The 21,464-nt window shown below is 37.0% G+C and overlaps 1 long non-coding RNA gene across 1 annotated transcript; it reads right to left on the reverse strand.

Annotated features, from left to right (window-relative positions):
- Nucleotides 1–289: 289 nt before the first annotated feature.
- On the reverse strand, nucleotides 290–1,196 carry LINC01526 (long intergenic non-protein coding RNA 1526). Its single transcript, NR_126363.1, has 2 exons — nucleotides 1,033–1,196; nucleotides 290–680 (listed from the first exon to the last, which is right to left on the reverse strand). It is a non-coding gene; the product is annotated as a long intergenic non-protein coding RNA 1526 (long non-coding RNA).
- Nucleotides 1,197–21,464: the final 20,268 nt, after the last annotated feature.

Here is a 21,464-nt window from a genome sequence, read left to right on the forward strand (position 1 = left end):
GTGAAGATGAAAGGAGATTATCCATGTGACTGCACTTTACACAGGACTCTCTAAAGATTGATCTTATTGATAGGATCCTATCTTATTGATAGGATTACTAAATCAGTGGCCACTGTATTTCAAAGCAAATGAGAGAAAAAGCACAGTTATGGACTCCGCTAGGGCCTAAGCTCTGTTCATAATAACTTTTTCAACTAAATCTTGAAGTCCAAGTTAGGTAAAGAATAGGGTCAAGCAGCCCAGGAGAAGGAAGAGCATACACAAAGGCACAAAGGTGAGAAATAGCATATTCTGTGCAGAATGCATTTAATTTTCTGATTTATTCAACAACCATTTATTGCATACTTAATCCATGCTTCACACTGTCCTATTCAGTGGGGGCATAAAAGTGACTGACAAGAAATTTACAAACTAAAGTGGATTTGACACAGCAAGGCTGTCTTCTCCTCTGGAGTGCTTGCAATGGTGTGTTGGTCAAGTTGAACTTTAAAGGAACCTTTAGGAGCAAACAAAGGGCAGGACCTTCCTGTGGTGAACTTCTCATGCCTCAGCTAATTCAGAGTCAAAGACTGAATGTCAGGAAGAAAGGACTTAAAAGTCCAGTGTGATCAGCTTCACAAGAGAAAAATACATGAGTAAGGGTCTCATATACATCCTCTTATTGGCACACTGCAAAGTCTCTGCAATATGAAACAGCATTATTATTATTATTATTATTGGCTCTTCAAAGCAAATGTTAGTAAATCGAGAAAAAAATATTTTAATACCTAGTAAGTATTAATCCCACAGAAACTATAAAATGCATTTAATATTAATGTATTAAGATTTAAACCTTTATTCACATCTTCATATGTGCAGTGACCCAGTTCATCCAAGTTTTAGTAGTTGTCTGAAACTCTTTGTAGAAAGATACATAAATTCACAAACACATATACAGGATTATTGAGATTGTAACTCTTCCCAGACATGTTTTTTTCACTAAAAATTTTCCACATTTCTAAGAAATATGTGTATGAATCAAGAGTAACTTACCAAGGCAGCCCAGGGAGAACCAGGACCAAGGACAAGAGACCCCTGGGCACTGAGGGTGTTCCATAAAGTGGCAGGAGTTGAGAGGTGAAGCTGGAGACTCAAAAACCAACTACAACACAGAAATTGGTGCAGTGATTTGCAAATATGGTCCTAGAACCAGCTATGTCAGCATCACCGGGAACTTGATAGAAATGCAAATTGTCAGGCCAGGATATATATTGAGCCAGACCCCTTGAGGGTAGGATCCAATAATGTGTGCTTTAACAAACCCTCCAAGTGACTTGATGGTTGAGAACCACTAGATTAGTGGTCCCCACTCCTGGCTACTTATTGAATCTATTTAAGGACTATGTTAGTTTTCTAGGGTGGCCATGACAAATACCACAGACTGGGAAGCTTAAATGAAAATTATTTTCTCACAGTTCTGAAGAATAGGAGTCTGAGATTAAAGTGTTCACAGGGCGGGTTTCTTCTGAAGCCTCTCTTCTTGGTTTATAGACAGCTGTCTTCTCACTGTCTTCACATGACATTTCTTCCACGTGTCTGTCTCTGTGTCCTAATTTCCTCTTCTTAGAAGGACATCAGTCAGATTAGGGCCTACCCTAATAACCTCATTCTAACTTAATTACCTCTTTAAATATGCTATCTCCAAATACAGTCACATTCTGAGGCCCTGGGGTTTAGGACTTCAATATATGAATTTTAGGGGTGTTATGAGGTAACACCCTAAATAGCTCAGATCATAACAAGAACCTTTCATTTAGAAATATCAATATCACATGAGACCAACTGACTCTGAATTCTTAAGGGTGGGGCCCTGGCATAAGTATTTCTTAAAAGCTCTCTTGTGAGTCATATGTGTAGCAGGGCTGAGAATCAGGCTATAATGGGTAAAAGGCCAAACAGTTGGGCACATGGCAGGAGATGTAGCCATCAGTGGCCACATGCTGCCCAGTAAGGCAGGTAGACCCTACCAGGAATAGAGGGTGCTATGAGGTAGCAGGAACCCAACCATGAGAAGTCTGGCTTAGGACAGCATATTCAGCTAAGCCCTAAAGCAAGAGTGAAGAGACTGAGAATTCAGGTAATAGCATAGAGGTGTGTGAGACAGCCAGTTTATAAGACACCAACATCGGAACGAGTGTGAAAGATTAGAACTCAGCTGTAATCCACAGAGCTGATTTGACTCTGGTGGCACAGGTTTGTGCCAGGGTCTCCTGGCCAGGAAGCTGTTGCCAGGGCCAGAGGATATAGCTGCAGAAACCCAAGAGATGGCAGTGAAGGAATTCAGAGGGCATCTGAGGCTTTTACAAGACATCCTACCTTTTAATATCTCGAATACACATATCTCTTTATAGTGTTTTATAAAGAAAGAAAACAAGACAAACAGCAATAACAAAACCACTGCCCTGAAGGTAAAATGTATTTACGGTCTTAGGAGGCTGTGTGAGGAGCTATCCTATTCCTAGTGAGTTCCTGGACTTTATTTTCTGGGGGTGTTGAGGAGTCTCAAAGAGTAACTCATTAAACGTCTAACCACTTTTGTCTGGTCAAAGCCAATAATCTCTGCTTTGTTATCCTTCAGAGAGAGGAAGCCAGTTGTGTTCAAATTGTCATTATTAGCTCCATTTCCAACACCACAAAAATTAAAGGACTGTTGCAAAGAAACAAATGGAATCCAGGAAGAACACACAATCTCTTTGAAACCTCCTCACCCCTATCCACCCACCTGGCCCAGAGATGGAGGAATTACAGGGAACCCAGCTGAGTAATAATGTTGTTGATTCCCTGCTAATCGGATTTTTCTTGAGTCCAGCAACAGTCAAGTGTTTACAAGACTTCTCTTTTCAAAACAACTCAAAAGACACTCCCAGCAGAGAAGCTAGAAACGAGCAAATCAATAATGTAGGAACTGCTACTAAGGGTTTTCATCTGCCCAGCAAGGAGAATATTTATTTATAGAAAAACTGGCCACTCCAGTTTAGTGTGGTAATAACATGGTGCAGCTAGTTCAAAGAGTGGCATGGTTGAACACAGCCTTGTATTATGCCCACCGTAAATGGTCTCTATGAGGAAAGGCCTATAATTTAGAAAGATTTGCCATGGATGGTAAAGCCCGGGTCATTGTAACAGATACTTTTTACCAACTCTATTTGTGGAGAGGGCATGTAAAAAGGAAGGAAAAAGGTTAGCTTCAGGAAACCTGGAAGGAGAAAGTGAGCCTCATTTGGTTTTACCTACATGAGAGCTATCTTACACCCAACCTGAAGCCTTCCTTGATGGTTGGAGATACATTTATTAGAAAGGCACAGAATTTTTTACGTGCAATATATATGTTTTGTTCCCTAAAGAATCATTTCTCCACTGTCCTGCTTATACATTCTCTCTCTTTACCTGCTCCTTGAATGCTGAGGAAAAATGATGTACTCTTCAATTGCATTTTTATATTAGGGTATGTCATTGGGTGGAAGTCAGAAAACACTGACTCAAAATGTCAAGCTCTTCTCCAGGGAATTCCCTGGGGCATGGCTCCGTTGACCTTCTGTTGTTTATCCAATCAATCTTTGTCATCGCTACTGGAAAAGCAGGAGGTGCAGATTGTAGATGTGGCTGCTTCAAAGCCAGTCTCTGAAGATGCATGTAACAATTTCTTTGACCTATTTTTTTAATCATCAGGTAAATATCCTGTCAGGAATTAGGAATTGTACATCTGAACTTATCTCTCTGTGTCTGCCTATCATTGTCATTTCAGTTTTTATCAGCCAGCTGTGATGCAGTCCCAAAGGTGACATTTGTACAGTGGTATGCTGGTAAAGATTTAAAACTGGCTCTCTGGGGAAAATAGGACTGATTTGTATTGTTTGACAATTTCCTTGGTGTAAATACTTCCACATGGCTCATTTCAAGCTATCAACATGAAGTTCTTGGAAGCAAAGTTGGGAAGAGATACACCATTATGTAGTATTTCCAGAACACAGATACAGTTGAAGGAAAAAATCCCAGGAGTATACGTAATAATAAAATGTAGTAAAATAAGCAGTAAGTGATAAGTTTTGAGCATTTTTGACCTTGTTTTCAATAAAATTTACATAACTGTAAGTTTATATAATTTAGTTTTTTAAATGGTTGTGTTTATCATCCATCTTTACAAAATTCCTGAAAATCTAAGATTGGCTTACATGAGCCAATAGTAGCCAGTTTCAGCACACAACTGGTCCTCTGGAAGGTGAAGCCCAGATTTATGAATTAAAGGAGAACCCAGGCACAACATCAAGCATTAGATACTGTGAAAACCCTGAGCCTGTGAGCAGAGAAGAGGCTGATCAAATGGCACTATAGGCTTGAGGAATAAACACAAAACCACATTTCCAAATTCCAGCCTGTAGGGCAGAGGTCACCAATTAGGGGGCTGAAAAATATCTTTTGCTGGGGAGTTCTGATCCCACTGGGCCAGCTTGTGCATTTAGCACTGCAGAAATCAGCTGGATCTGAGAGGTAGCTGCCACCTTAGGGTAAGATTTGTGAACTCTGATTTACAACTCTCCAAACCTCTCTTTCCATGGCTTGTTGCATTCATTTTCATTGCCTCTGAAGGCAGGAGTGCTTCCAAATCAGCGCTTAGCCAAGCACACCCCTTCAAGAAGCCTCGTGGCTTTAAGTGACAGCTACATGCTGATGCATCCCTCCCCTGAACTGGAGACTCCAGTATCTAATAGCCACTGCCTATTCAGCATCTCTCCTTGAACATTTAACAGGCAGCTCAAACCTAACGTGTTCAAAAGTGAACTGCCCCGTCACTGTGTTCACCAAGTCAGAAAACGGCTACTCCATCCTTCCAGTTTCCTGGCCAAGAGTCATGGCCTCATCTTTGACACCTCTTTCTCTCTGTCCCACATTCTATCTGGGGGCAAATCTTGTCATCTCTGCCTTCAAAATACATCCAGAAGCTGACCTTTTCACCACATCCAACACAGCTTTTATAATCTCTCCCCTTCATTATTGCAATAGCATCCTAGCCGGTCTCTGTTTCTGGACTTGCCCACCTACTGCCCATTCTTACAACAGCTACCACGAGCCTTTTACAACTTAATTCCAGTCACTTATTTTCTCTGGGGAAATAACTCAATGTCTCCCTATTTCACTTAGAGTAAAAGCCAGAGTCCTTAGGCCTTTGATTCTACTGTTCCCTAAGAAATGTTCTTTCCCCAGATATTCTCACGGCCTCCTTTCCCATCCATTAAGCCTTTTCTGAATGTCATCTCTTCACCTGTCTTCAGAATTGTAACCTCCATCCAAATCTCCTTTGGCTTTCTTCTCCATTGCACTTATCACTAGACTGTACATTTTACTTTTTTTCTTCCTGGAAGAAGTTAAGCTTCCTGAGGGTAGAGATTTCTGTTTTGTTCACTGCTGTATCCCCAGCACCTAGAAACAATGCCCAGCATGGTGGGTCTCAGCTATCAGTTGGATAAATGGATACCAACCCATAGAAAATGAAGTTATTTCAAACACAATTTGGAAGGTGTGGTAGGATGGGAGAGGAGGTAGGGAGAAGGGAGTTAGGGGAGTCATAGGAAAATGGAACATTTCAACTGGACAACTCAGAATCTAGCCTCTTCAGGTTTCTCGCTGAGAATCAGTGAAGGGTGTGGAATTTTAGAAAATTCCAGCACTTCTGATATGGAATAGGGGCATATATAAAGGCAGGCTGTGTGCTTTCCTAAAAAGAACAATACTTTTAAGTGAGATAAACGTCGTTCTGCTCCTGTCATTATTTTCTTGGGTATATAATTTAATCCCTCTAAGCCTCTCCTGGTTCTCCTTTCATTGAATTCTTCCCCTTTTAGGCAGCTGGCTTCTGTGCCATCTTTTACTCCCTTGATCTCTTAAAGGCTGTGCCTAGCAGCCTTTCTACCACCCTCTTCTCTTCTGACTCTAGCCGGATATAACCACACTTTTCACCTTCCTGATTTCACTCACGCTACTCCCTTAGCCTGAAGAAAACAGACAAATTCAGACAGAGAAAACAGTGCAAACTCAAGTCTCCTCTGTTCAGCTCAAATTGCCTTGTGTTCACATGATCCCATCTCACCCACCTCCCTCACAACTGCAAGATGTCATGGGACAAGTGTAAGCCTTAGAGGAAAAACTGAACTTATCACAGGATCATCATTTCACAGCCATGTTAACTTGAATCAGTCCCTTAAACTGTATAAGCTTCTGTTTCTCTAAGTGAAAAATGAGCAGGCAGCCAGGCATCCTGGCTCTAGCAATAGACTCCTTGGGTCATATCACAGCTCTGCTACTTTTAGCTGGGTGAAAGGGCAAATTCATGTCTCCAAGCCTTGAAGTCTTCCTTGATGAAAGTATGAATAATGAGGCCCACTTCATAAGGTTGCTGTACAGATTTGATGAGATGTAAAACCCTGATACACTGCCTGGCACATAGGAAGCCCTCGATTCAGGTCAATTATTACAATTATTATTATGGGGTCACTGTAAATACCCATGAGCTAATGTCCATGTCCTGGACAGCCTCTGTTTGTCCCTCTATATCCACTCTGCCCCAGCCTTCTTCCCCCAACTCGGGCCCCATGAAGCTCAGTTGGAGGGCCTCCATCAACGCTCCTTCATCCTTGGGCTTCTGTTTGCGCAAATGGAGGCACTAGCAGGAGATGTGCTCCCTCCCTGGGAAGGTCCGTGGTTCCTGTCAAATGACTTTCTCCACAGGATGCCCTACGCACTGTATATATTGTCTGGGGACGAGTAACCAGTCCCTCCTCTTGGTAGTGATGTCCTGCTATTACTAGCTCTGGGATATTATATTATCTTGGTTTTGCTTCACTGTGGTGACTCCCTTATAAATAGTTTCTTTATTGAACTCTACTCTATGTGAGCATGCGAACTGCTTCCTGACTGACACCCAGTTGATAGAGTGTACATTAGAGTACTTTGTGAAGTTACAACACACACCTTTCACCTATGTGCTTATTTGTCCCTACATCCCTAGCAACTGGCAGCGTCAAGCACATGAGGAAAAAAAAAAAAAACAAAACAAAAAAACACTGGGTTGGGCGCGTTGGGTCACACCTGTAATCTCAGCCCTTTGGGAAGGTAGATCTCTTGAGTCCAGGAGCTTGAGACCAGCCTGGGCAACATGGTGAAACCCCGTCTATACAAAAAAAAAAAAAAAAAAATACGAAAATTAGTGGGCAGCATGGTGGTGCACATCTGTAGTCCCAGCTACTTGAGAGGCTGAGGTGGGAGGATGTCTTGAGCCTAGGAGGCAGAAGTTGTAAAGAGTTGAGATCACACCTTTGCACTCCAACCTGGGTGACAGTGCAAAACACTGTCTCAAAAAAAAAAAAAAAACACTGTTCAAGTTTTTAAAAAATACACTGCCTTGAATGTGTCCTCCAAAACTCATGCTGAAATTTAATTGTCATTGTGGCAGTATTAAGAGGTGGGATCTTTTAAAGGTGATACAGTCTTAAAGACTCTGCCCTCATGAATGGATTAATCACAGAAATGGGTTTGTTATCATGAGGGTTCAGCCCCTACTCTCCCTGAGTCTCGCTTGCTGGCTTGTTCTTCCTTTCACTTTGCACCATGGGATAACCCTTGCCAGATGTCCGGCACCATTATCATGGACTTTCCAGCTTCCAGAACAATTAGTCAAATAATATATTTTCTTTATAAACTGCCCAGTCTGTAGTATTCTGTTACAGCAGCAGAAAATAGTCTGAAACAAAAAGAGACTGACTTTTTATAGAATGACACTTTTCCCTTTTATGAGGCATCCTTTGCTAAGCCTTCTATAAAATATATTAGCATTTCTTATCAGCATCAATGGACAAAACTCGTTACCAGGTGCCAAGCACTTCTATCAAGAGTACATCTTAGACCCCGTGGAGAACTGGAACTGCCTCCACTTCTCCACAAGACTTTTCGTCTGCAACCTCCCTTCATCAGTCTCTTTCTGTAAGCTCCCAGGTTAAAGTCTCTTTGCTATTTTCATTTGTTTGCTTGAAGCATAGTTTGTTGCCAGCTGTTAGCTGTAGTGCAGTAACCCATTTAAAGTCCTACCATACTTCCTTCTAGAGATAATTGATGCTAATGAGGCATAAAATAATCCATTTGAATAACTGGTAGAGAAGTTTCAGTTTCAATTCAGTTTCTTTTCATGGAAAATAAAACTTCACAACTTGATCATGTGTGAAAGCAAAGTCGGCTATTTCAAAGAAAGGAACTGATTAAAAAGAAAACACTCACACACACACACACCCCATAACCTGTTGACACTAAACTATCTGAACACAGAAGGCATTTGGGCCAAGGCAGAGTAATTGAGATTTGTGCTTACTTTTCCCTTGGTCTTGCCCTAATGGGTTCATGAGGATTGTCTATAATGAACAAATAATAATTCTGATAAATGAGTTTATTGGTTAATTCATAAAACATATGGCAAGCTTCCTCTGCCACAGTATTTGGGCAAAGGAAAAGCAAATGAAGATCAAGAATAAACAAATGATATGACACAAAAACAATGTTTTGAAGTAGACCAGAAAAGTCAACTAATTAGGGTTTTATTGATCTAGAAAAGGGGAAATCCCAGTTCTATTCTAGGCACATTTGCACATACCTAAGTGTCAAAATGGAGATGAAAACTGTGTTTTCATTAAAACTCAGTGGGTGTGGGCCCTAATTCTCACATTCTTCTGTAGGTTATCACAAGCTTGCTCTGTAGACTTTATGTTGCAAAATAATGAATACTATACAAAAGGAGCAGTTACCTTCCTCATATTAGCCTGGATAAGAATGACAGTGCTGTAATATTAAACGACCCCCAAAATCACAATTTTAACTTAATAAAATCTTATTTCTGCCTCCCATAGTGTATACTGCTAGTCCAGGTGATTGTCCAGGATAGGCTTTTTGATCTTGTTTTACTTCCATTTCAGCATGTATTTTCAAGATGGCTGATCACTTCACCAGAGAAAACAGTGTTGCTGGAGGTCTTCTACCAACAATTAAATATGCCAGCCAGGAAGTACCACATGGTACCTAATGTCCAAAAAGAAATGTGGAGCCATTACTGTAACACAGAAGCACTATACAGCTGTAATCAGTTCTGTCACAATTCCCTCATCTCCAAAATCCAGATCATAGTCAAGCCTCTTTTTGGCTTGTGCCTCTCTACCCTGGAGGATGCTAAATTTTTAACAGCAGAATATCACAGTAGGAGGAATATTGGTTTGGCTTCTGTTTTCACCAATTCCCAAGTGACCTTGGACATATTATTTAACTTCTCCAAGCCTAATTTTCCTCATTTGACAGATGAGGATAATAGTAGTTCCTATCTTATAGGCTTGTGGGATTAAAAGGAATAATACATGAAAAGTAGTTGGCATTGAAGAATCATGCAGTAAATGCCTGGCCATTCCAAAAAGTGCAGTCATGGACAAAGTTTCACGTGCTGCCTATCTCATATATTCTCTACCCACTGATAAATGCCTATGAGAGAGGGAGATTAAGCAGCAATGCCTATGAGAGAGGGAGAACTCAACTCGAGGACAAGCAAGTGTCTGGATCTGAGGTCTCCACGTGGAGGTTATAAGGTGTCTGCGTCACTAGAATTAGAATTGCTTCTGATCCCTGTAAATACTGCCCTGGAAAATGGACTTAGGTGAGTACTTTGCAACTCCCATGGAAATGAAGGTGATAGACAACAGGCAGCCTACTTCTCTGGAACCATTTCAAATCTGGTTTAAGTTTGCTTGGAAAAGTAAACAATGTTTTACAGCAGTCCTGTGAATAAAACCTATGTAATACTTTACCCAAAATCACACTTGACCTTTTAAACTTGCTTTCAGAAAGAGGTGAAGATGTCATTCTATTTCAACAGAACTACTATATGAAATTTTTTATTTTATGTAAAATCATTATAGGTATGATTTATCACTTTGCAACAGGATTCAGTATAGAATTGATTTAAATAGCACATCTTTGTTTGAACTTTATTATTATATATATTTATTATTGTACATAGTTATATAACTATTATTTGTCTGAACTTTATTACTTTTTTTATATTTATGTATATTTTATTTTCCCCAGTCCCCTCCACCTTTCCTGGCCTCTGGTAACCACAAATCTACTCCCTATCTTCATGAGATCCATTCTATTTAGTTCCCACATATGAGTGAGAATATGTGATATATGTCTTTCTGGCTTACTTCATTTAATGCAATGTCCTCCAGTTCCTTCCATGTTGCTACAACGACAGGAGTTTATTCTTTTTTATGGATGAATAATATTCTACCGTGTATATATGTTACATTTTCTTTATCCATTCATTCATTGATAGGCACTTAGTCTGATTCCATATTTTGTCTACTGTAAATAGTCTTGCAATAAATGTGAGAGTGCAGATATCTCTACAGCATATTGATTTCTTTTGGATATACACCCAGTGGTGGAATTGCTGGACCACATGGTACTTCCATTTTTAGTATTTTGAGAAACCTCCATATAGCTTTCCATAGTAGTTCTCCTAATTTACATGCCCACCAACAGTGTACAAGAATTCCCCTTTCTCCATACCCTCACCGGCTTCCATTATTCTATGTTTTTTTGATAACTCATTTTAACTGGAGTGAGATATCTCACTATGGTTTTGATTTGCATTTCTCTGATGATTAGTGATGTCAAACTATTTTTCATATACACATCATTTGTATGTCTTATTTTGAGAAATATGTGTTCAGATCTTTTGCCCGGTTTTTAATTGAATTGTTTATTTTTTTTTTGTTATGGAGTTGCTGGAGTTCCTTATATATTTCAGTTATTAACTTATTGTCAGATAGAGTTTGTGAATATTTTCTGCCATTCTTTATGTTGTCTCTTTACTTTGCTGATGGTTTCCTTTGCTGTGCAGAAGATTTTTAGCTTAATGTGGTCCCATTTATTCATTTTTGCTTTGGTGGTCTGTCCTTTTACACAAGTCTTACACAAGAAAAATATGTGCCCACATCAAGTTCTGGACCATTTCCCCAATGTTTTCTTCCAGTAGTTTTATAGTTTCAGGTCTTAGATTTAAGTCTTTAATCCATTTTGAGTTGACTTTTGTATATGGTGAGAGACAGAATTCTAATTTCATTATTCTGCATATTGTTATCTTGTTTTCCCAGCACCATTTCCCAGAGACTGTCCTTTTTCTATTGTATGTTCTTGGTACCTTTGTCAAAAATGAGTTTGGCTTTAAATGTGTGGATTTATATCTGGGTTCTCTATTCTATGTGTCTGCTTTTATTCCAGTACCATTCTGGTTTGGTTATTATAGGTTTGTAGTATATTTTGAAGTTAGGTAGTGTGATGCCTCCAGCTTTGGCTATTTAGGGTTTGTGTAGTTCCATATAAATTTTAGAACTTCTTTTTAGTTTTGTGAAAAATGCCATTCATATATTGATAGGGATTGCATTGAATCTGTACATTATTTTGGGTACAATTGTCATTTTAACAATATTAATTCTTTCTATCCATGAGCATGGAATATATTTCCATTTTTTTTGGTGTCCTCTTCAGTTTCTTTCATCAGTGTTTTATTGCCTTGCTTGGATAGAATTTTCACTTTGGTTAGATGGATTTCAAAGTATTTTATATTATTTGTAACTACTATAAATGAGATTGCTTTCTTGATTTCTTTTTCAGATTATTCAGATAGTTGACATATATAAATGCTATAGATTTTTGTACATCGATTTTGTGCCTGCAACTTTACTGAATTTGTTTACCAGTTCTAACAGTTTTTTGGTGGAGTTTTTAGGCTTTTCTAAGTGTGAGACCGTGTCACCTGGAAACAAGGCTAATTTGACTTGTTCCTTTCTGATTTGAACTTTATTTATTTCTCTTACCTAATTACCCTGACCAGGAATTCTATATTATATTGAATAAAAGTGGTGTAAGCAGGCATCCTTGTTTTGTTCCAGATCTTAGAAGAAAAACTTTCAATGTTTCCCCCATTCAGTATGATGTTAGCTATGGGTTTGTAAAATATGGTCTTTATTATTTTGAGGTATGTTCCTTCTATACCCCATTTGTTGAAGGTTTGTATCATAAAGGAATGTTGAATTTTATTAAGTGCTTTTCAGCATCTATTGGAATGATCATAAAATTTTTGTTCTTGGTTCTGTTAATGTGATGTATTATTTTCACTGATTTGCATATGTTAAACCACTCTTGCATCCCTGGGATAAATCTCACTTGATCATGATAAATGATCTCTTTAATTTATTGTAGCATTCAAATTGCTAGTATTTTGTTGAGGTTTTTTGCATATATATTGATCAGTGACATTGTCTTGTAGTTTTTTTGTCGTTGTGTGCTTGTGTGATTTTGGTAACAGGGGAATGCTGGTCTTAGAATAAGTTTGGAAGTATTCCCTCCTCTTCAATTTTTTGGAAGACTTTGAGTAGAACTTGTGTTAGTTTTTCTTTAAATGTTTGGTGAAGCTTCAATCTCATTACTCATTATTAGTTTGTTGAGGTTTTCTAGTTTCATGGTTCAATCTTGGAAGGTTATATGTATCCAGGAATTTATCCACTTCTTCTAGGTTTTCCAATTTGTTCACATATAGTTGTTCATCATAGTCTCTAATGATTCTTTGTATTTCTGTGGTCTTTATTGTTGTGTCTCCTTTTTTGTTTCTGATTTTATATATTTGAGTTTTTTCTCATTTTCTTAGTCTAACTGAAAGATTGTCAATTTTGTTTATCTTTTCAAAAAGTCAACTTTTCATTTTGTTGATCTTCTGTATTATTTTAGTCTCAATTTCATTCATTTCTGCTCTAATACTCATTGTTTCTTTCCTTCTACTAAATTTGCATTTGATTTATTCTTGCTTTTCTGTCTGCCTGTAAAGTTGTCTAACATGCCAACAAGTTTTCAAGAATGCAATACAAACTAAAAAGGGGTTTGTGAAGGCCATATATGATCAATAGAAGACTTCACTTCTCTACTTTCTTTTGCAGCTTTCCAAAAGAATCATGCTAATATCCAAGTAAGCATACACACAGAGATTTAAATTACCATGATTTTCCCTTTCAGAGAAAGGGGAGGTTCTTCTTTCTACAGTTGAAATATATTTTTCAAACGTCCAGCTTTTAACAAAAAATTGTGAGACATACAAAGAAACAAGAACATATGGCCCACATGCAAGGATGAAAGATCACTGAAAACTGTCTTTGAGGAAGCCCTAAATGTTGAATTTACTAGGCAGAGACTTTAAATCAGCTATTTTAAATATGTTCAAAGAACTCAAGTAAATAGTATCTGAAGAACTGAAGTGTAAAAACAACATCTCACCAAACAGAGACTATCAATAAAGAGATATAAATTATAAAAAAGGGTCAAACAGAAAGTCTGATGTTGAAAAGTATAATAACTGAAATGAAAAATTTAGTAGAGACATTCAACAGCAGATTTGAACTGGCAAAAGAGAATCAGTGAACTTGAAAACAGATCAATCAAATATATCCAGTCTGAAGAGAAGAAAGAAAAAAGAATGGAAAAAAAAAAGGAAACCAGAGCCTTAGAAAATTGCAAGATACCAAGTCCAACATAAGCGTAATAAGTTTCAAGATAAAAAGAAAGCAGAAGGGAAAAAAGGAATATTTGAGTAAATAATGACTAAAATTTTCCAAAATTTGTTTAAAAAACATTAATCTACACATCCAAGAAGCTGAATGTATCCAAGTAGACAAACAAGAAGATTCACACCAAAACTCATAATAAAACTGTTGAAAAAGACAAAGAGAAAATCTTGAAAGCCACAAGAGAAAAGCAGCTCATCATATACATAAAAGGGATCCTCTAAATTAACAGTTAATTTTTTATTAGAAACCATGGTGTCAATCACGTATTCAGAGTGACAAAAGAAAAAAAAACTGTCAACTAAGCAAAACTATTTCTTAAAGAGGAAAGAGAAATTAAGACATTCCCCATATGTAGAACCAGAGAATTTGTTGCTAGTTGGGCCCCAAAAGAAATACTACTATGAACAAATATATGGTAACATATTAAATAATCTAAACAAAATGAACACTTTCTTAGAAAGGCAAAAACTACCAAAACTGACTCAAGAAGAAATAAAATAACTAAATAGACATATAGCAAGAAAAGAGATTGAATTAGCAATCAAAAAATTTCCCATAAAGAAAATTCCAGGACCAATTGGCTTCACTGGTCAATCAACCAAATGTTTAAAGAATTAACATCAAAACTTCACAAACTTATATAAAAAATAGAAAACATTTCAGAACTCATTTTATGAGGTTAGGATAATTCTGATACCAAAACTAGACAATAGTATATCTAAAAAAAAAGTGCAAACCAATATCCCTTATGAATATGGACACAAAAATCCTCAAAAACAATACAAAACTAGCAAACTAAATCTAGCAACATATATCAAGAATTATACATCATGAGACCATTAAATTAGATTTATTTCAGTAATGAAATATTGGTTCAGCATACAAAAATCCATGTAATACATGAGTAGTCTGACTCCCAAAATATTATGTGCCATTTTTCAGGTCTGACCACAGGACCAATTTCAAAAGCTTTACCTGGCAGGCCTCTTGGGGGAAAGCTACCTTCTCTACACAAGACATGGCGTACAGCTAGTGCACTGCAGGCTCCAACGAAAGTTGCAGTCACTTGCATTCCTAGCTCAGGATCCTCCCTTCGAAGGCATCGTTAGCAGGAGGCCCTGGGCCAAGGCCTTTTCAGGTGCATCTACTAAGCCCACCATACCTGGGGGACCTTGAAGACACTTTTCTTCACTCTGACTTAATATTAAGTACTTTCCCACTCCTAGCTTTTCTGTCTCTTCCCCTTCCATCCCTTGGGTCAGGAAACAGCAGGAACCTTCTTGGGAGGAATCCCTTGGCAGTGAGATAATCTCCATGTCTGCAATGATACATCTGACTCCTCCCAACACCATTCCATGGGAGAAAATGGAACATTGAGAGAGCCAGCACTTTTTCCTATTTAGCCTCTTGCTTATATTATCACCACTAAGTGATTAAAGGTTTGACTGTTACTTTAGCTTTGGCTTATTATTTTAATTGGCCACCTAGACCCTGGCAGCTCAGCAATCTTAAGTTCAGTTCTTGACATAGTAATATATTATATAACCATAGTAATATAATAAAGGACAAATTCCACATGATGATCTCAATGGGCACAGAAAAGACATTTGACAAACACCTAACAGTATTTATTATGATAAAACAGATTTATTATGATAAAACAGTATTTTTATGATAAAACACACAATAATCTAAGAATCTTTTATTTTATTTTATTTTTATTTATTTATTTATTTTTTTTTGTGAGATGGATTCTTGCTCTGTTGCTCAGGCTGAAGTGCAGTGGCATGATCTCGGCTCACTGCAAGCTCTGTCTCCCGGGTTCCTTTAACTTGATAAAGGGCATCTGTAAAAATCCACTATTAACATTATTCTTAATGGTAAAAGACTGAAAGCTTTCTCCTTAAGATCAGAAATGGGACAGGTATATCCCCTCTCATAATGTCTATTCAACATTGAATTTAATATTCTAGCCAGAGCAACTAGGCAAGAAGAAGTAATGAAAGGAATACAGACTGGAAAGAAACAAGTAAAACTATCTCTATTTCCAGATGACATAATCTTGCATATAGAAAATTCTTTTTAAAAAATCCACATGTACCCTAAAACTTAAAGTATAATAATAATAATAAAAATCCACAAAAAACTATTAGAACTAATAAATTAGTTCGGCAAGGTTGCAGGATATAAGATCAGCATACAAAAATTAACTGTTTTTCCACATACTACCAATGAATAATCTGAAAAAAATTAAGAAAGCTATCGCATCTGTAATAGTATCAAAAATAATAAAATACTTAGTAATACATTTAACAAAAAAGTTTTGTATTCTACATTGAAAAATAAAAAAAAAACTTGAAGGAAATTTAAAAAGACATAAATAGATGGAAAGGCATCCCATGTTCATAATTTGGAAGATTTAATATGGTAAAAATGGCAATATTCTCCAAATGGATCTACAGATTTAATGTAATCAGTCTCACAATTCCAGCTTCCTTTTTTAGAGAAATTAACAAACTGATCCTAAAACTCAGAAATTTAAGGGGCCCAAAAAGCCAAAACAACCTTGAAAAAGAAGAAAAAATTTGGATAATTCTCTATTTCTATTTCCAGTTGAGACTGTGTGGTAATGGTCCAGGATAGACATATACGTCAATGGAATATAATTGAGAATTAAAAAAAAAAAAAGAAAAAGAGAGAAAGAAAAAGAAAAAGAAGAAAGAATCCTGCTACATTTACAGCTTTTTTTTTTTTTTTTTTCCTGAGACGGAGTTTCACTCTTGTTGCCTAGGCTGAAGTGCAATGGCGTGATCTCAGCACACTGCAACCTCCACCTCCTGGGTTCAGGAGATTCTTCTGCCTCAGCCTCCTGAGTAGCTGGGATTACAGGCAAGTGCCACCACGCCCAGCTGATTTTGTATTTTTAGTAGAGAAAGGGTTTCACAACGTTGGTCAGGCTGGTCTCAAACTCCTGACCTCAGGTGATCTGCCCACCTTGGCCTCCCAAAGTGCTGGGATTACAGGCATGAGCCACCAAGCCCGGCCCATATACTGCTAATTTTTTAACAAGGGTGCCAAGACAATTGATTTAGAAAAGAATATTTTTTTCAACAAATTGTGCTGAGATAATTAGATATTCACGTGTAAAAATAACGAATTCGGATTCCTACTTCACACCATATAAAAATCTATTCAAAACTATATGTAAGTGAGGAGACTGTAAAATCTTCAAATGAACCATAGGGACAGGTCTTTATGACCTGAGATTAGACAATGATTTCTAGTTATTACTCCAAAAGCACAAGGAATAATAATAATAAAATAGGTAAATCGCATTTTTCAAAACAAAAACTTGTGAGCTTCAAAGGACACCTTTGAGAAAGTGAAAACACTTGCAAATCATAGAGCTAATAGGTACTTTTATTTAGAATATATACAGAACCCTTATAACTCAATAACAAGATGATAAATAATCCAGTTTTAAAATGGGCAAAGGATCTGAATAGACATTTCTCCACATAAGATATACAGATGGCCAATAAGCACATGAAAAAATGCCTAATATCATTATCTCTAGGAGAAATGCAAATCAAACCACAATGTCATACAACTTCACACCCACTAGGATGTCTAGAATCAAGAAAAATGAACAAATGTAAGCACAGTGGAAGATGTGAAAAAATTAGAACCATCATATATTGCTGGTGGGAATGTAAAAACAGCATAGCCACTGTGGAAAACAATTTGGCAGGTCCTCAAAACTAAACATAGAGTTTAATAATAAGATTCAGCAATTCTACTCCTAAACATGTACCCAAGAGAATTGAAAGCTTATGTCCATACAAAAACTTATGCATGCATGTTCATAGCAGCATTACTCATAATAGTCATTAAGTGAAAACAACCCAAATATTCATCAACTGATGAGTGGATAAACAAAATACGTTATATCCAAATGGAACATTATTCAGCCATAAACAGTAATCAAGTACTCATACATGATACAACATACAAAAACCTTGGAAACACTATGCTAAGTGAAAGATAACAGACCTAAAAGACTACAAGTTGTGTCCATTTATAGAAAATATCTAGACCGGGAAATCTCATAGAGACAGAATGTAACTCAGTAGTTTCCAGGGGCTTGGGGGCAAGGAGAAATAGGGAATGACTGCTAAATGGTACTGAGTTTCTTTTTGGTGTGATGAAAGTGTTTTGGCATTAGACAGAGGTGATGGTTGGATACCCTTGTGGGTATACTAAAAACCACTGAATTTTACACTTTAAGAAATGTGAATTTTATGATATGTGAATTATAGCTCAATTTTTAAAAACCCATGGAGAGGTTTAAAATGAAAATTAACACCATCGATAACTCTATGTTCTGGAGACAGGCACCACTAACATTTTGAATATTCCATTCCAATCTTTTTCTTATGGATATATACATATTTTAAGTCAAGCTCATATCCTACATATATAGACATATATTTTCCTCTATTGGCGTTACATTTTTTGTTGTAAGAACAAAAATTTTAAGAAATATTCTAAAGACCTCTTTTTTTGGAAGAGTGTATTAATCTTGTGGCAATAAACAGTTCCAGCTCATCCACTGATTAGACGAATGCAAGAAGTTGCTTTCTAGGAGCAAGCCTTCACATTGAAAATGATTTTGAATAGTGACATTGAGTGTAGAGGTACCAAGATGCTGTAGAAAAATGGTTTGACAGGATATTTTGCAAAACGTTTTTCTCTTTCAACATTCCTTTCCTTTCTTTCATAAATGTATTTGTTTTTCAACACAGGTATATAGTCAAAGGCTGCATACTGGCTAACGATTAACCAGCTGCTCTGATTATTTGCCAAGCTAATGTTGTACGGGAATATTGCACGTTGAATGATAAAAACCTTGGATACTGCACATTAAGTCTGGTACAACATGTATTCTAAATGTCCCCCATTTGACTGGGAAAGTCTAGTACATTTTAAGGATGGTTTATTTTTGTTTGCATTTAATTCAAAGGCTGAAACAGCACACCATCTTTTCTAAGTGCACAAATGGCTCCAGCATCGTAACTTACCTATGAAAATTAGGGGGATTTTTTGTTTTTTGTTTTTTGTTTTTTTTGAGACAGTGTCTCGCTTTGTCACCCAGGCTGAAGGGCAGTAACACCATCATAGCTCCCTTCAGTGTCAACCTCCCAGGCTCAAGCAATCCTCCTATCTTAGCCTCTTGAGTAGCTAGGACCATAGGAGTGAGCCACCATTTGATTAAGACACCAAATTAAAATTCTAAAGTACTGTGACCCTTCCTGGGCACTCAAATTATAGAAAAGATTTTTGAGGCAAAGCAATGGCTCTTCATGAAATAGGTCCTATCTATAGCATTATAAAAGTATTTCAGAAGATGGTTTAAGTCAAATATGTGGTATAGATTATTCTCATTAAAAAGCATTCATATAAGACTATGTTTTGCAGGCCCTTGAAAAAATTTCATTGGTTATCAGTTACAACATAATAGGTCAATTTTTTTTAGAAAAGGCAATTGAGATGCTCATGGTTAGATTTGCTCCGACCCACCCAGCAACACAATGGCAGATTGAAAGTCCTGGTTCTTTAATTCCCGGGCCTGGTTCTAATGCTGCTGGATCACAAGGTCTTTATAATAGAGCTTATAAAAGCACATTTTATGTGAGGCGACTGGTTAGAGAAAATATGACCTTTCAAATTATATCACCATTTTCCACATAAAAGCCTCAGCCAACCTCCTAATTTATGCGACCTTTGGAAACCATAAAATCACTTCCCAGGGAGAGTTGATGTTGATTTGATTAGGGCCGCTCTTCTTGACCCAGAGTGGGTAGGAGCCAGCCACCCAGGGAACAGCCCAGGGAACATCAAAATTCACTCAGCCCAGGGAGAAATCTGCAGTCTAAGGAAGTCATTTGAACCCAGTAATGCACTTGCTAGAGACAGCTAGTTACTCTAGCTAAAGGTTTAATCTTTATCTCCTCAATTGAAAACCTAAGAAAACCTTTAGATTTGCCAAATGCTTGAAGAGGAATATTTCACAGATGTTAAGGAATACAGGACTCTACAAATAGAAATGCTAAGAGTATGTATGCATAGAAATTAAAGTCATCAGAAAAGGAAATGCTGCCTGATTGAAAACTCAAACATTTAATAGAATTTCTGTTTATTAATAAAGCAGTTTTACTTTAGAACTTGATGAATGACTAAGTGAAACAGAGGAAAGAGCAAAGGACTTGACAAAGTGCTGTTTAATACCTTTAAAATATATCCTGTTTTTTAATATAAAGTCATTTTTATAGTATATCTGCCTTATGGGAAATCCCAAAGAATTGGATAATAAAAGATACAACTAAGATTTGTTGGATTTTATATTCACTACTTTTCGTAATGTACAGATGTAGGTACCTGGGTGAAATTCTACTTATATATATAGGATAAAAGTAGGATATATATATATGTGTGTGTGTGTGTGTGTGTGTATATATACTAAAAGTGTGTGTGTGTATATATATATATATATACACACACACACACACAGACACATATATATATCCTACTTTTATTCACAAAACATAATAGTAGCATTTTCCCCATGTGATTACAAATACTATGAGAATATCATCATAAACTGCTGAATAATGTTCCAACATATAAAAGTGCTACAACTTATTGAACTATTTCATTATTGATGAACTTTAGAGTTTTCAATTGTTTTGTATCATAACTAACAATCCATTAAACATTTTTGTGGATAAAAGGTTTTCGTGTGTTTCAGCTTGTTGTGTGGAATAGATGAATTTATAATGTGTTAAATCACATTTCCTTTTTGAAGATGAGTATCACCAACAGCCTTTCTATTTTTCTCCAGGTATATTACAGCCTTCTTTTTGCAATTATAATCATTGAATTTGGACTATGAATCAAAGAACCAGGTTCAATGCTGTATTTTTACCTGCATGCCTCTGACATTCCATAGATTTCTTGGATAATAATTACTCTCCCTTTAACAACACCATAAGTCCACTTAATCTATGAATTTGAACCTTGAACAAGAGATAACTGAAGAATTATGTAAGAAAGAAACAGAAGAAGTGATGTTCTCAAGCTCTGGAGATTTTCAGGCAGCTTTGAAAATCTTTTTTATCTTATGTTTTATTCCCATAAAACTTAAAATCCTACTGGGGCATTAAGGTAGTAGCGGAGGGGTAGTTTTTCAAGATGTTCTTGTACAGCTTCCTTCTAGAAATATCTAGAGTTCTCCAAACTACGTTTGAAAACTCACTAATTTAAGACTTGTAACTTTGCAGATGGACTTTCTTACCTGGGAGAACAAATTGTTCTTTTCTGCTTCAAGGAAATTTTAAAATGCTAAGTAAGGCTTGCTATCCTCAGAGGCAACATTGGCATCCTGAAACAATTTTGGCCATCTGATTCCTGAGGGTTTGGCCAACAGCTGTGCCCAAAATGGATAATTGTGCCTGGTTAAGTTTAGTCCTCTCTGACATCACACATCACAGAGGAAATCAGCCCCACACATTTTTCTTCAAGGAGAGAAGAGAATTCATACAGATGATTCAGAATCAAGGAATGAAAATGACAACAAGCATGCAAATGTCACACTGAAAACAAAAATCCCTCCTAGTTCATTGGCTAAAGAGACAGTAGAAACATCCTGGGTGGAACTGAGAGCTGTGACTCTTGTGCTCGGTGGCCTGGAGCCATTCACAGCACCATCGGGAAGTGAAG

The sequence above is a fragment of the Homo sapiens genome, chromosome 6, assembly GCF_000001405.40.
Source record: "Homo sapiens chromosome 6, GRCh38.p14 Primary Assembly".
Lineage (NCBI taxonomy): Eukaryota > Metazoa > Chordata > Mammalia > Primates > Hominidae > Homo > Homo sapiens.